This window comes from Homo sapiens, chromosome 19 (assembly GCF_000001405.40).
Source record: "Homo sapiens chromosome 19, GRCh38.p14 Primary Assembly".
In the NCBI taxonomy this organism is placed as follows: domain Eukaryota; kingdom Metazoa; phylum Chordata; class Mammalia; order Primates; family Hominidae; genus Homo; species Homo sapiens.
The window spans coordinates 42,884,477-42,901,190 of record NC_000019.10 but is presented as its reverse complement, the minus strand read 5'-3'; positions in this window follow the sequence as shown (position 1 = coordinate 42,901,190).

Here is a 16,714-nt window from a genome sequence, read left to right as displayed (position 1 = left end):
TTAAGATGGAGTTTCACTCTTGTTGCCCATGCTGGAGTGCAATGGGACAATCTTGGCTCAATACAACCTCCGCCCCCTGGGTTCAAGTGATTCTCCTGCCTCAGCCTCCCAAGTAGCTGGGATAACAGGCATGCACCATCATGCCCAGCTAATTTTGTATTTTCAGTAGAGACAGGGTTCCTCCATGTTGGTCAGGCTGGTCTCGAACTCCCGACATCAGGTGATCCACACGCCTCAGCCTCCCAAAGTACTGGGATTACAGGCATGAGCCACCGCACCCAGCCAACACATTTTTACATAACAAGACATCCTTTAAAGCTCCTGATTATTGTAAGTACAAAATTGCATGAAGGATTGTGTAAAGAAAAATGCCAGGTTGGACTGCCAGAATGAGCCAACAGCACGTGATGTGCTTCCCCCTGCAGAGAGCCTATGAATGGATGGGCAGTCAGGGAGGTTTCACATTACCAAGATTCCTATCCCAGAAAAGCAGATGTCTGTAGCTCTGGGAAAGGAATGTGACCCTTATGGAGAGCCTATAAATGACCCTAAATCCCTCACTAAACTACCCCCACTCTCACTAAACTTAATAATAAATGCTGGTGTATCCAGTGCATTGGCAGCATCGCAGGACCAGAAGGCGGTGACACCCCTGGACACAGCTTTCCCTATCTTGTGTGTGTCCTTTATTTCTCAACTTGCCGATCTGCCTGGGAACAAAGAAAGAGCCCTGTTGCATTGCAGGTTGCTGGCCAGATCCCACAATATAGTCCCAGCTACTTGGGATGCTGAGGCATCTGTAGAGGGAGAGCTGCCCCAAATCATAAATCACAAATAAAAACCAATTACATCTATAACTAAATCAGTTGTAATTTTGTCTTATCACACATGTTCACAGCAAGCAATGGCCAGTGGAGTCTCTCAGACTGCATCATTCTCACCCTGACCCTCCTGCCTTGCTCTTTCACTTACAAGGACCCCTATGATGACACTGGGAGCCATCCAGATAAGCCAGAATAAGCTTTCCATCTCAAGATACTCAACCTCATCACCTTTGAACAGTGTTTTTGCCAAGAAAAGTAAATGCATGTGTTCCAAGAGTTAGGATGTGGATTTTTTTTTTTTTTGAGACAGTTTCACTCATGTTGCCCCGGCTGGAGTGCAGTGGGACAATCTAGGCTCACTGCAATCTCCGCCTCCCAGGTTCATATGATTCTCCTGCCTCAGCCTCCCAAGTAGCTGGCATTAAAGTTGCCCGCCACCACGCCCAGCTAATTTTTGCATTTTTAGTAGAAACGGGGTTTCACCTCGTTGGCCAGGCTGGTCTTGAACTCCTGACCTCGTGATCCACCCGTATCAGCCTCCCAAAGTGGTGGGATGACAGGCGTGAGCCCCTGCACCCGGCCCGGATGTGGACATTTTTAAGAGGCCATTATTCTGCCTCATACGGGTCACTTTCATAAACATCACCCACAACAAAAATGTTTTGCCTTCCTTCCATGTCTCACTTTTCTGTCTGCACAAACCACAGTGAAACACACTAGCTCTGCTATGAAGTGGCTGGATGACCCTGGGCCACTCATTTGACTTCCCTCAGCCTCTTTCCTCATCTGCAGTGTAAGGCTGACTCTTACTGCATCAGAAAATGACAGTGGAAGAGTAAATTAACATGTGTAAGACATTAGTCACAGAGCCTGGTACCTGATGAGCCCTTGGTAAACATTCCTTTCAGTCCTTTCCTTTCACCTTCCCATTTTTCTTGCCCTCACCCATCTTCTCCTTCAACTCCTTTCTCTTCAGTAACTTACTCAGTCTAACCTGACAATTAAAGAAGCCACACTAACCATTCTCTCATGACTCTGCTGGAATGTTCTTGTGATGCGGTCTGCTATCCACTCAAGGCAGGAGGTATTATTTATATAGAGAGGTCTGTTTGCAACAAGAAATCCTTTTTCTGTTCACAAAAATTTATACACAATTTCTCTTAACTTACATGTAGCAGTCTCAATTCTACCCTGTTATTTCATTCATGTACTTCATTATTTTATTCTTCAGTCTTTCTGCTTACACCTTAAAAATTAGGATAGCACAAAAACAAAAATAATGGCCTGGGCCAGAAGAGGGGATTCCTTTAGCAAGATGAATGCTTTCCTTTTTCAAGATGAATGAATGCTATGTGCAAGGCAGCCCTGAAGCCCATTTCTGGGTTTGGCTTACATCAAAGCCATTTGACTCTAGAACACATTCTTAGATTCCCAGGAGATAATGATTGTCACGGAAGACACACCCACTCTGAGTATTCCTACTGTTGGGTAAAGGAATGTTTGCAGAATGTTGTGCATTCTGTTTACTCCTCCTAAATTCTTCCACTCCTGGAAGTTAAGCTTCCCTACTAATCAGCTTCATCTCCAGCTGGCCTGCCTGGACCCTGACCAGAAAATATCTCCCCACTCTGGATGGCCAGGGTGATACCTTTGTATATTCCCATAATTATAATAGCTCACACTGATGCAGCACTCACTATGCACCAGGCACTATCCTAAGAGCTTTTCAGGTAACTATAGTGCTCACCAAAAAATCCCAAGAGCCACAATCCCCATTTTTACAGATTAAAAAAAAAAACTGAGGCAGAGAATTATATACCCACTGTCACTTAAATCCATAATTCAACCTCAACCTCCAATTCTTCTGGTAAGAGGACACGCTAAGATGTACAAGGTCTCCTGAATGACATCCTCCTTCAAAAATGATTTTTGTCCCATTTACTTTCAGGATTTGACAAACAGCCAGCATTTTGTTTTCTGTCTCACCCTTCACTTATGCATCTGTTCCCTAAAACTACACTCACAACTGCACAGCCCTGCATAAAAGCTAGCTTTTAGAAACCCCAATCTCTTTTGGAAAAAAGAAAGGCCAGCTTCCAAGTCTCAGAAAACATCATTTTTTATTCTATTGTCAACTATTTACACGGCCATTCTCTGGCCATAAACGAGTGCACTAGAAACAGAAAGAGTAATGAGAAGAAAGTAGGAGGGGGGTGAGTTTCTAGATAGACACACAGGGAAAAGATTATGAATCCAGAAAAATTCATAAAATGCACCCAGGGTGTGTGGCTTTGAGCAATGACAGCCCCACCTGCCACTTTCCATGTTCACTTCTTACTTCCTTCTCAACCTGCCCCTCCTGGTCTTGCTTTCTTAGACCAATACAAACAACCTGGGAGCTGGGGTCAGATCAGAGCACACAGCACTGAGTGGTAGGGTTGGGAAAGACAGAAAGGAAGACGAGTGTTTGACTCATGAAGACCTGACTCACCTTACACATCACCTAGGCAGGCAACAGATTACTGAAGGGCTTTGCAGGACTCATGGTGGTTATCCAGAATGACTGACTGAGGCAAGGGTCTTGATAAATTGAGATTTATTGAGCCAGAACTTGAAAGTACACCCTGGGAATACATGAGTTGCAAAAAAACCTCTGTGGCTTGTGTTTTCTCTGAAGAGGTTTCAGGAGGCTTAGTATTTATACATTTGATTAAAGGGATAAGGCATGTCGGAAGAGATGGTGTGGGCAGAAAAACAATTCATCTAATCTTGTCTTTCTTCTTTGCCTCAGAAAATAAATATTATCAGAATGAGAGTTAAAATACTTCAGTTTTAGGAGCTAGATTTTGACTGCTCACTTAAAGTTACAATTGGCATGTCTTTCTTTTACAAAGAAATATACATCTTGAAAGGTTTTGAAGCCAAGAAAAAACAATTTGTTCAGGGAATCATCTGGAGATGCCCGAGATCTTTGGCTTTCCTGCTTACCCCATTCTTTTCCTTTCCTTTTTTTTTTTCTTTTAGAGACACAACCTTGCTCTGTCACCAAGACTGGAGTGTACTCACTACAGCCTTGAACTCCTGGGCTGAAGTGGTCCTCCCGCCTTAGCCTCCCAAGTATCTGAGACTGTAGGCATGCATCACTGCACCTGGCTAATTTGATTTATTTTATGTTTGGTAGAGACATGGTCTCCCTTTGTTGCTCAGGCTGGTCTTAAACTCCTGGTTTCAAGTGATCCTCCTGCCTTGGACTCTCAAACTGCTGGGATTACAGGTCTGTGTCAGCACACCTGGTCCCTCGATTCTTCAAAAGCTTTCAGAGAAAGCATTGTAGAAGACATGACTTTGTGACTGTATGTTTCATCTGATCCTACATCACTAGGAAGGCTCATTCTTAAGAAGTCATGCCCCGTGGAAAAGGGGATGAAGACAAATCAGAAAAAGGCAAAGGGAAGTCACAGCAACAAAGGGACAGTATAATCCTGGAACTTTATTAAAGTCACACAACTGCTGCTTCAATTAGAGCAATTCGTTTGGCAAACATCACTCTAACCCTATAGACTAGGTTTTCTAGAGTTTCTGAAGCATCTTCTAATTGCAATGGCAATCTGACACATTTTTCTGAATTGCAGTCTGAATCCAGCGTTCATGTGTACCTTTTGTATAGTACACATCAGCAGGCACAAAGGTTGTTTATATATAAGTTGCTATGATTTCTCCAGAAGTTTACATAAGTCATCGAGTTTCAGCTTGCAAGGTTTAACCTATCCATCTGACAAAAGGCTAATATCCAAAATCTACAAGAAACTTAAACAAATTTACAAGAAAAAAAAAAGCCCATCAAAAAGTGGGAGAAGCACATGAACAGACACTTCTCAAAATAGGACATTTTTGTGACCAACAAACATACAAAAAAAAGCTCATCATCACTGGTCATTAGAGAAATGCAAATCAAAACCACAATGAGATACTGTCTCATGCTAGTTAGAATGGTGACCATTAAAAGGTCAGGAAACAACAGATGCTGGAGAGGATGTGGAGAAATAGGAACGCTTTTACACTGTTGGTAGGAATGTAAATTAGTTCAACCATTGTGAAAGACAGTGTGGCGATTCCTCAAGGATGTAGAACAAGAAATATCATTTGACCCAGTGATCCCATTACTGGGTATATACCCAAAGATTATAGATCATTCTACTGTAAAGACACATGCACACATATGTTTATTGCAGCACTATTCACAATAGCAAAGACTTGGAACCAACCCAAATGCCTATCAATGATAGACTGGATAAAGAAAATATGGTACATATACACCATGGAATTCAATGCAGCCATAAAAAAGGATGAGTTCATGTCCTTTGCAGGGACATGGATGAAACTGGAAATGACCATTCTCAGCAAACTAACACAGGAACAGAAAACCAAACACTGCATGTTCTTACTTATAAGTGGGAGTTGAACAATGAGAACACATGGACACAGGGAGGGGAACATCACACACTGGGGCCTGTTGAGGGGTGGGGGACTAGGGGAGGGATAGCATTAGGAGAAATACCTAAGGTAGATGATGGGTTAATGGGTGCAGCAAAACACCATGACACATGTATACCTATGTAACAAACCTGCAGGTTCTGTGCATGTATCCCAGAACTTAAAAGCGTAATAAAAAAATGATAAAAATTTAAAAAGCACAGTTTTAATTTATAATATACCAAAATGGAAGAAAATTCTGAAACCATTAGTTTTGAAATTTGTAGCCAGGAAAAAATTTAGGATTCAGCCCAAATTGTAGGTAAATAACAAAATTCAAAAAAAAAAATGAACAGATCTAAAATTTAATAACTGTTGTTCTGTTGTTTTTTTCTAAAAATAATTTTCCCCCTCCTGTCTCCCATTTTTATGAAATAGAAATCATATGGGACAAATGTATTTCCAAAATAACTTTTAGTCTTCTACCTGGATTGTTTACATGAAGTGCAGCAAGAATGTAGATTCAAGGCCTCTATGAATACATATATTTTATATATATGTATAAATATAAGAATATGTATATTCTATCATGTAGAATGGCACTAAAGTATATTAATGGCAGCAAATCTGTACAAGTCTGCAGCAGCCTCAATTCTTGCTTCTTCAGAAGAAAGAATTAAACTAAGTGTCATAAGGCAGAAGAAGAGACTTAGGCAAATTTTAGAGCAAGAGTGAAAGTTCATTTAAAAGCTTTAGAGCAGAAATTAAAGAAAGTAAAGTACACTGAAAACAGGGCCAAACAGGTGATGAGATTTCAAGTGTGCAGTTTGACCTTTGACTTAGGCATTTGTATGTTGGCATAATTCTGGGGTCTGCATCTCTTCTCCCCTGATTCTTCCCTTAAAGTGGGCTGTCTGTATATGCAGTGGCTCACCAGCACTTAAGAAGGGAGCCTGTGTAGTGTGTTTCCTGGAGTACAGTTGGAAAACAGAGACCAAAATAAAAGCTATGTATGGAAATAAAATTGGTCTCCTTATAAAATCCTGTTATAAATTTCTATCATTTTTGTGTTACCTTGGCATCTACTTTTAATCTTCCTTGAACACACCCAAATTCTTCTGTGTGTGTGTGTGTGTGTGTGTGTGTGTGTGTGTGTGTGTGCTTTGAGATGTAAATTTACTACCTACTCTCTCTAAAACTCAGCAAGGGCTTCCTCAGATAAATGTTAATTTTTATATTTACAATAGCACAATTTAAATCCAGTTTTTTTTTTTTAACAGGGAGTTTTATAGGTTCATGCATAAAGTTTTAAAATCAAAAATCTGAAGTATTTCTGTCGCACTCTATCTTTATGTGCACATGTATATGTTCTATGCTGTATCGCCTATCACATATGTATATGTCCATACCTATGTTTATATATTGTTTATACATGGTATCAAAATTAATGTAAAAATAAATGAGTACTCATCAATTAAGTAAACAGTCCCAAATGCTTTTCAACACATGTGATTTTAATAATCTTCAATAAGGGAAGAACACCTCCAATGAGCATGCATACCCATCTGCAGCCTCCTTAAAAAAATTTATCAGGCCGGCCGCGGTGGCTCACGCCCGTAGTCCCAGCACTTTGGGAGGCCGACGCGGGCAGATCACAAGGTCAGGAGATCGAGACCATCCTGGCTAACATGGTGAAACCCCGTCTCTACTAAAAATACAAAAAAAATTAGCCAGGCCTGGTGGCAGGCGCCTGTAATCCCAGCTACTCAGGAGGCTGAGGCAGGAGAATGGCGTGAATCCAGGAGGCGGAGGTTGCAGTGAGCCGAGATCACACCACTGCACTCCAGCCTGGGCAACAGGGAAAGACTCCATCTCAGAAAAAGAAAAAAAAAATTATCAGCCAAGAATTTTGTATCCAGCAAAACTAAAGTTCATAAATAAAGGAAAGATAACAGTCTTTTTCAGACAAACAAATGCTCAGAGAATTTGCCACTACCAAGCCAGCACTACAATAACTGCTAAAAGGAGCTCCAAATCTTGAAACAAATCCTGGAAACACATCAGAACAGAACCTCTTTGAGCGTGAATCTCACAGGACCTATAAAACAAAAATACAATAAATAAATGAATAAAACCAAGGTATTCAGGCAACAAATAGCAGGATGAATGGAACAGTACCTCAAATCTCAATACTAACATTGAATATAAGTGGTCTAAATGCTCCACTTAAAAGATACAGAATTGCAGAATTGATAATAATTCACCAAGCAAGTATCTGCTGCCCTCAAGAGACTCCCCTAACCATAAAGTGTCACATAAACTTAAGGTAAAAGGGTAGAAAAAGACGCCCCATGCAAATGGCCACAAAAGTGAGCAGGAGTAACTATTCTTATAACAAAAAAACTAACTTTAAAGCAACAGCACTTAAAAAAGACAAAGAGGAACATTATATAATAATAAAAGGACTTGTCCAACAGGAAAATATCACAGTCCTAAATAAACATGCACCTAACACTGGAGCTCCCAAATTTATATAGCCATTACTACTAGACCTAAGAAATGAGATAGACAGTAACACAATAATTGTGAGGGACTTCATTACTCCACTGACAGCACTAGACGGGTCATCAAGACAGAAAGTCAAGGAAGAAACAATGGATTTAAACTATGCCCTAGAGCAAATAGACTTAAGAGATATTTACAGAATATTCTACCCAACAACCACAAAATATACATTCTATTCATCAGCACATGGAACTTTCTTCAAGATAGGCCATATGATAGGCCACAAAACAAGTCTCAATAAATTTAAGAAAATTGAAATTATATGAAGTACTCTCTCAGACAATGGTAGAATAAACTGGAAATCAACTCCAAAAGGAACTTTCAAAACCATGCAAACACATGGAAATTAAATAACTTGCTCCTGAATGATCATTGGGTCAAATATGAAATCAAGATGGAAATTTAAAAATTCTTCAAACTGAACAATAGTGACGCACCCTATCAAAACATCTGGAATACAGCAAAGAGTGTGCTAAAAGTTTATAGCCTTAAATGCCTACATCAAAAAGACTGAAAGAGCACAAATAGACAATCTAAGGTTACACTTCTAGAAACTCAAGAAACAAGAACACACCAAACCCAAATCCAGCAGAAGAAAGAAAATAACCAACATCAGAGTAGAACTAAATGAAATTGAAACAAAATAATACAAAATATAAATAAAATGTAAAGCTGATTTTTGGGAAAAATAAATAAAATTGATAGACCATTGGCAAGATTAACCAAGAAAAAAAGAGGGAAGAGCCAAATAAGATCAATTGGAAATGAAATGGGAGCCATTACAACCAACATTGCATCACTGCACTTCAGCCTGGATGACAGAGCAAGACCCCTCTCAAAAAAGACAAAGAAAGAAAGAAATAGACAAAGCCCAATGCTGGCAGTGCTGTGGAACTAACATCTTAGGATTGATGGAGAGAGTGGACTTAGCACTTGTGGAAAGAGCCATATTTCCTGGGGGCCACGAGTCCACATATGCCCTGTGAAGACTTACCAGGGAGTGTTGGGCTGCTACCCACATTTCATCTATTTGTCAGGCAAAAATGCCTTAAAGATCATACCACTTGATTTTCCTTTAAATAAAAATAATGTGGGAATGGAATGGAATTGCCGAGTAGTATAGTGGGTGTATGCTGAAATTTTTAGAAGCTGCCAGACTGCTTTCATAGTGGTTGTACCATCTTACATTCCCACCAGTAGCGTGAGCATTCCAGTGCCTCCACATCCTTGCCAACACTTGTCATGGTCACTCTTTTTAATCTTAGCCATTCTAATAGTTCTGTAGTGGTATCTTATTGTGGTTTTATTCTGCATGTTTTTCTTGAGACAGAGCCTCATTACATTGCCCAGGCTAGAGTACAGTGGGCCCATCAGAGCTCACTTTCTCTTCAGGAAAGTCTTCCCTGATCTTTCAGTCTAGGTCGGAAGCCCAGTAATATACAGTCATGAGGCCCCATATTTATTCTTTTTGTGTTTTTTTTGAGATGGACTTTTTTTTTTTGCACTCCAGACTGGAGTACAATGGCACAATCTTGGCTCACTGCAGCTCCACCTCCAGGGTTCATGCTATCCTTGTGCCTCAGCCTCCCAAATAGCTGGGATTACAGGCATGAGCCACCATACCCACTAATTTTTTAATTTTTGGTAGAGACAGCGTATTAGCATGTTGCCCAAGCTGCTCTCGAAATCCTGACTTCATCGGCTTCCCAAAGTGCTGAGATTACAGGCATGAGCCACCATGCCTGGCTCAAGGTTGACTTTTTTTTTTTTTTTTTTTTTTGAGCTGATGTCTCACTCTTGTTCCCCAAGCTAGAGTGCAATGGCACAATCTCAGCTCACTGCAACTTCTGCCTCCCGGGTTCAAGCGATTCTCCTGCCTCAGCCTCCCAAGTAGCTGGGATTACAGGCACATGCCACCACGCCCAGCTAATTTTTGTATTTTTAGTAGAGACGAGGTTTCACCATGTTGGCCAGGCTGGTCTCGAACTCCTGACCTCAGGTGATCCACCGGCCTTGGCCTCCCAAAATGCTGGGATTACAGGCTTGAGCCACCATGCCTAGCCAAGTTTGACTCTTAAGACTAGAACCTTGCTACTCCAGAGTTGGTCTGAGGACTGAAATATATCACCTCTTACCCATCAGGAAATAGCATCACTTCTCTGAGCTTCAGTGTCCTCATTTAAAAATGGTAAAAATTCCTGCCCTGCAGGTAGGCAAGAAAGTTCAGAAGTGGTGTGACTAAAGTACTTCTTACCTAGCCAGGTAGTCTTGAGTTTGAAGGCCTGTCTTGTCATTCAGGGGCTGTGGAATGGTCTCACTGTTGGAACAGGGAGTGGCATTTGATGCTTGGTGTCATCCTAACCCCCACAGTCACTATAGTAGTTTGCTAGGGCTGCCATGACAAAATACTGCAGAGGAGTAGATAAGCAACAGGAGTTTATTGTATCACAGTTCTAGAAGCTAGAAGTCCATGAACTTTCCTCCTCTGTAAGAGGTCACAGCGTTTCCCATGAGCTCATATATATGGCGAAGGGAGAAACAGAAGGAGCAGGTGCCATGGGAGTCTGAGTCACCCATTGGGTCACTGGTGCCCTGAGACCTGCTTGAGCCTGACCCCATACACAGCTCTCCCTGGGATGCTGGAGGCTGCTGTGCACGCCCCAGGTAACTCAGATGTCACCACCACATGATGTGTCATTCAGGTCCCAAAGCCCTTGGTGTCCTATGGTCAGGTATTCGAATTCCACTAAGCCCAGGGATAAGCCAAGAGCTGCTTGCTGAATGAAGAGTTACCCGCAGGAGGAGGCGTGGTCTTTCTCTAGAATCTCCAGTTCTGCACGGTGAATCTTTTGGAGCTTGTGAAAGCCTGCATAAAATAATACACTGCATTTGGAACATAGATGCTCTTCGTTCGTTAATTTCTTTTTTTTTTTTTTTTGGTTGAGATGGAGATTCCCTCTGTCGTCCAGGATGGAGTGCAGTGGCGCCGTCTTGGCTCACTGCAACCTCCGCCTCCTGGGTTCAAGCGATTCTCCTGCCTCACCCTCCCAAGTAGCTGGGATTACAGGCGCCTGTCACCATGCCTGGGTAATTTTTGTATTTTTAGTAGAGATGGGGTTTCACCATATTGCCCAGGCTGGTCTCAAACTCCTAATCTAAAGTGATCCGCCTGTCTCAATCTCCCAAAGTGCTGGGATTAGACGTGAGCCACCTTGCCCGGCCCATTTTAACCACTTTTAACTGTACATCCAGTGGCAGGAAGTACATTTACGTTGTTGTTCAACCACCACCACTGTCCATCCCCACCCAGAACTTTTTCATATTCCCCAACTGGAATTCTTTACCAATTAAACAACAACTCCTCTTTCCCCCTCCCTCCAGCCGCTGACAACCACCTTTTCATTTTCTGTCTATGCATTTCATGACGTCAGGCACTTCTGTTAAGTGGAATCATGCAATGTTTGTCTTTTTGAGTCTGATTATTTCACTTAGCAGAAAGAACTCAAGGCTTATTCATGTTGAAGCACGCATCAGAACCACCCTTCTTGTTATGGTTTAATCCCATTCATTTGTACGTATAGACCACATTCTGTTTATTCATTCATGGATGGATGGACACTGGGCTTATTTCCAACATCTAGCTATTGTGAATAATGCTGCTATGAACAAAGACATGCAAATATCTGCTGGGGCCCCTGCTTTCCGTTCTTTTTGGAATACACCAGAAGCCGAATTGCTGCATCTTGTGGTAAGTCTATGATTAATTTTTTGAGAAACGATGACAGTGGGTGCGCCATATTTCATACCCACAAACACTACACAAGCATTCCAATTCCTACCTGCCAACACTTGTTCTTTTCTGTTTTTCTTTTTTTTAAGAACAATCATCATAATGGATGTAAGATGGTATCTCACTGTAGCCGTGATTTTTATTTTCCAAATGATTAGTGATGTTGAGCATCTTTTCATGTGCTTATTGGCCATTGGTAAATTAATTTTACATTTCCTCCTATGTAATGTAAGAGGTAGCACACCGTGCATTGTTCTGCTTCTTGTTTTTCTCACTGTGCGGTATATCTTGGAAACCTTTCCCAGTACACAGAAGAAAGATACCTCATTCTTTGCCACAGCTGCCCAGTATCCATGATGTGGATCATGGCTCATGACCCAGTTCCCTATGGATAAACGTCAGGGTCGTTCCCGATCTGTGGCCATCACCAACACTGCCGTGACTAGTCTAGAATGGGTGCCATTTCATGCATTTGCAATTCCCAGAAGTACACTGGTTAGTCAGCAGGTGAGTGCATTGGTGAGAGGATGTGACTCCAGTCTCAGGAAATATGGAAACCTTCTTCCCTTTCTAGCTGCAGCACCCCCAGTCTGGACAGCATATGGAAAGCACACATGATCATTTGAAAATCACAAAATAACTCTAAATTTCTGCACAAGTAGGTCATCTACCACTTGTCATTCTAATCCCACACTAGGCACTTTAAGAACATGCACCCATGGGCTTTTGCTACACTCTTTTCTTATGTTGGTACCCACCTTGTGGTGACTGAGGATACTCTTAATATCCCCAAGTCTGAGGAAACTGAGGCACAATTCGATTATCCACTTATGAAGTGGTGAAGCTGTGGATTAAACTTATAAGACATATCCACTTCACACTCCAGAAAACTTCATCATTCCCAACATTATTGTCTTCCACCATTGGGAAAGAAATACTTTTCTTGGTAATTAGAGGAGAAAAGGTGTTTGGTGTTTCATTGTCACTTTCCTGGTGTAGACCAGATACTTGCGGGTCTTTCCTAGGGCCAGCGAGTCCTAACATGTTTGAACATCTACCCATGCTATTTAAGGCAGCACACCAAACACATTCCTGCTTCAACTGCAGTGCCTGTTTCATCAAGAAGAGTATTTTCCTTAAATAAGTTTCAGGTGCCTATTACTTGGGGAAATACTAAGCCTTTGGTATGCTTCTGCTCATCTAGGCATGAGACAGCTCCCTCATTACTTTGGTCTTCAGTTTTCTGAATCTGCTTCTGGAAAACTCTGCAAAATGTCATTGTTGAGAACTGCTGCTTTGCAAATACTTTTCATGCCTATGTGATGTGCTGTTATTCTCTCTCATTTCCTTGCTAACATACAGTCATGTTTATGAAACAAGTTATGAGCCAGTTAAGGCTGGAGCTGAGTCAGCTAGATTTGCATGCATTTTCAGCTCCAGGGCAGTTTCCTAAAAGTCATCACATGTCTAGTCTCAAAGTTCTTATAGAATACCATCTGATTATTATTAAGTAGATTCTTTAAGGCCTCTCAAGGATAAAGCTGTGAGGTGTTATATCCATTCCTTTCCTCCCTCACACTGTTTTTGACTTTTAATTCTTCCCTTTATCCACTTTAATTTCTAGTCTCCCACTGCTAATTCTCCATATGACCCATCCCCACCACCGCCACCGTCAACAGCCACCAGTGAGAATTCTTACTACCTGAACTTCACTGTGACAAAAAATCAGCCTTGGACCTGTGGGCTAAATTGTTCCAAGATTCCTGATGGAGTTCTCAGATTCAGGCAAAGCTAGGTCTCCTGATACCCTGTCTTAGTCAGTTTTGTGTTGCTAAAAAGGAATACCTGAGTGAAGCTGGATAATTTATAAAGAAAAGAGGTTTATTTGGCTCACAGTTCTACAGGCTATACAAGAAGCATTGCACCAGCATCTGCTTCTGGTGAGGCCTCAGGGAGCTTCCACTCATGGTGGAATGGGAAGGGGAGCTGCTGTGTGCACAGATGACATGGTGAGAGAAGAAGCAAGAGAAAGAGGAGAGGAAGGTGCCAGGCTCTTTCTAACAATCAGCTCTTGCAGGATTGAGTAGAAAACCCACTCATTACCATGAGGGCAGCACCAAGCCATTCATGAGGGATCCGCCCCCATGACCCAAACACCCCCATGTAGATCCCCATCTCCAACATTGGGGATCAAATTTCAATGTGGGGTTTGCATTTTCCTGCAAACTCATGTGCTGTGCACTCCCTCATGTCATCTATGAATGATCATCTGCCCCAGGACTTCCTTGAAGCAATAGCTCAAATCATATTCTAAGAGTTCTGGGGGTAAAAAGGCAAAAAAACTAACTCTACTGACTCCCTTGTTTGTCTCCCAGTGTTTATGGAGGGTGACCGGTGTTCACAGCCCTCTGCTAGGCATCGCAGATACAGAGGTCAAGGAGATAGACATAGCCCTGCCCCCGTGGAACTTGTAATATAGTTGGGGAGACATATGAAACCATTGCGCACGTAAAGGTCTGATTGCCAATTATTACACAGGCTAGCAAGGGAAAGAACAGAGTCAATGACAGAACGGCTCTGGGCACCTAACTTAATTCAGGTCTTATAAGGCCAAGGAGTGGGCCTCACTACAGAAATGGCGTGGAAGGTGAAATCAGGAAGGAGTAGAAGTCCAGTTTCTGAAAAGTTGGAACACAGATTCATCATACAACCCAGCAATTCTACTCTTTGATGTCTACCCCCCAAAAAATGAAAACATATGTCCACCCAGAAACTTGTACATGCATGTTCACAGCAGCTCTATTGATAATAAAAGGAGGAAATGACAAGAAACTACCAAAAGAGAACAATGTGAAGGGCTGGGTGGAAGTTGGTTCTTCAATGAAATCTCACAAATTCCAGTGTTTCTAGTACTTCTTACCAACACTTACATGTATTCACCCTAATTAGCTCATGTGAAAAAGATCTTCCTGTATTACTAACAAGTGTAATTTGGAGAGTAGATAGATCTCAGGTGAGGACTTCGGAACATGCCAAATGAATTAATGGAATCAGTCCACTTTCTAACTTAACATCACTGGCTTACTTAACAATACGTGACGTTGGTGAGAAGAACCTGCAGAGGACACAGGAAGTAGAAGAGGAGCTCACATCTGTCCATGATTTCTATTGCATTTCAGTTTATGTGGTCATTGGAGACTCAGTTTGTGAAGGTAAGCCAATCCTTGCTTTGAGGAAAATATACATATTCAGGGGAAGATGGGTCTTACTAGATGAAAAGATAATAAATGAAAAGAGGGAGAAGGGAATGCATGGTGGCCCCAAGAAGCCAGAGAAGACAATTACATGAACATGGACATCAACCACCAAATGTTGTATAGGTCAAAAAAGAAAAGCAAAGGACTGGAGACCAAGCAGAAGGGCTCACACCCCTACCAGCTACTCAGGAAGATGAGGCCAGAGGATCTTTAGAGCTCAACAGTTTGAGACCAACCTGGGCAACAGAGTGAGACCCCTGTCTCAAAAAAAAAAGAGAGAGAGAGAGAGACTGGGAAGTAGAAGCTGAGATGATATGAGGGTCACCTGTGGCTTGGACAGGATTAATGCAGGGACCATTGGAGATCAGAGACAAGCTGGAGAAGGTTGCACTGAAGAAGCAGAGATCATGAATGCAGAAAGCTTGAGAAGTTTTTCCAATCAGGAAAGCCAAGACATGGGGCTGTCACTACAGGGCAAAACGGAGCCTGCAGGGAGTCATGCAAAAGTATTTGTCTCTTTTGAAGTTTGGTGTGACATGAGGGATTCAAAGAGAGTTAACAGAGGAGGGGAAGCTTTTAAACTCCAGATGATGAAAGAGCTCAGAAAGGACTCAACTTTTGTCCAAAGGGGATGAGATGGACAGAGTTTAAATTTCTCTTTCAAAAAATGATGCCTTCGAGGGAACAATAAGAGGAAAGCAGGCTAAGAGGTCAGCCAGGTGGATGAAAACCATGTTGTTTTCACTTAAATATGTGTAGTCCTGCAAGTGTAACACAGCCAGATAATTCCAGAGCTCCTGGGTCACCGTTCCCTCTATCTTCTCAGACCCCACTCAGCAGAAGAGATGTTTGTTTATGGCTCCACCCAGGAAGCAACTGCAAGCTCCTATGACTTCAGCATCTGAAAAGTACTTCAGATCCAAACTCTCGCTTCCTGAACCTGAACGGAGCTCATCCCCACTCCCCTGTCACTCTGCATAAGATTCCAGGGTGACATTGTCAGATGTGGTCATTAATCTCCTTTTAAAAGTGCAAATCCCCTCAGAACGTGACTCTGCTCATCACCTGTTTAATCAGATCGCTTCCTTCTCATTTGTAGCTCAGAAGTGGTTGGAAGAGGGAAGCAGGGAAGAGTGAGAAGTGACCAGAAGACAAGAGTGCGAGCCTTCTGTTATGCCCACAGAAGGCCACTAGAGGGCTCCTTGGTCTAGCGATAATGCCAGCATCTGGAAAGATGCCCATTGCCAAGCGGACCATGGTCTAGTGGTAGCCTCAGTGTCAAGGAAAAACACTCGCTACTTAGCAGACCGGGAAAGGGAGTCTCCCTTTCCCCAGGGGAGTTTAGAGAAGACTCTACTCCTCCACCTCTTGTGGAGGGCCTGACATTAGTCAGGTCCACCCGCAGTTATCCAGAGGCCTGACCATCTCCCTGTGAGGCTGTGCTTCAGTGGTCACGCTCCTAGTCCGCCTTCATGTTCCATGCTGTACACCTGGCTCTGCTGTTTAGTTAGCAATAGCAAATTAGTGAAAGTACTAAAAGTCTCTAATAAGCAGAAATAATGCTGTAAGCTCTCTCTCTCTTTCTCCTCCCTCTCTCTGCCTCAGCTGCCAGGCAGGGAAGGGCCCCCTGTGCAGTGGACACGTGACCCACGTGACCTTACCTATCACTGGAGATGGCTCACACTAATTATCCTGCCCTTTTGTCTTGTATCCAATAAATATCAGCACAGCCTGGCATTAAGGGCCACTATCTGTCTCCATGACTTGGTGGTAGTGGTCCCCCGGGCCCAGCTGTCTTTTCTTTT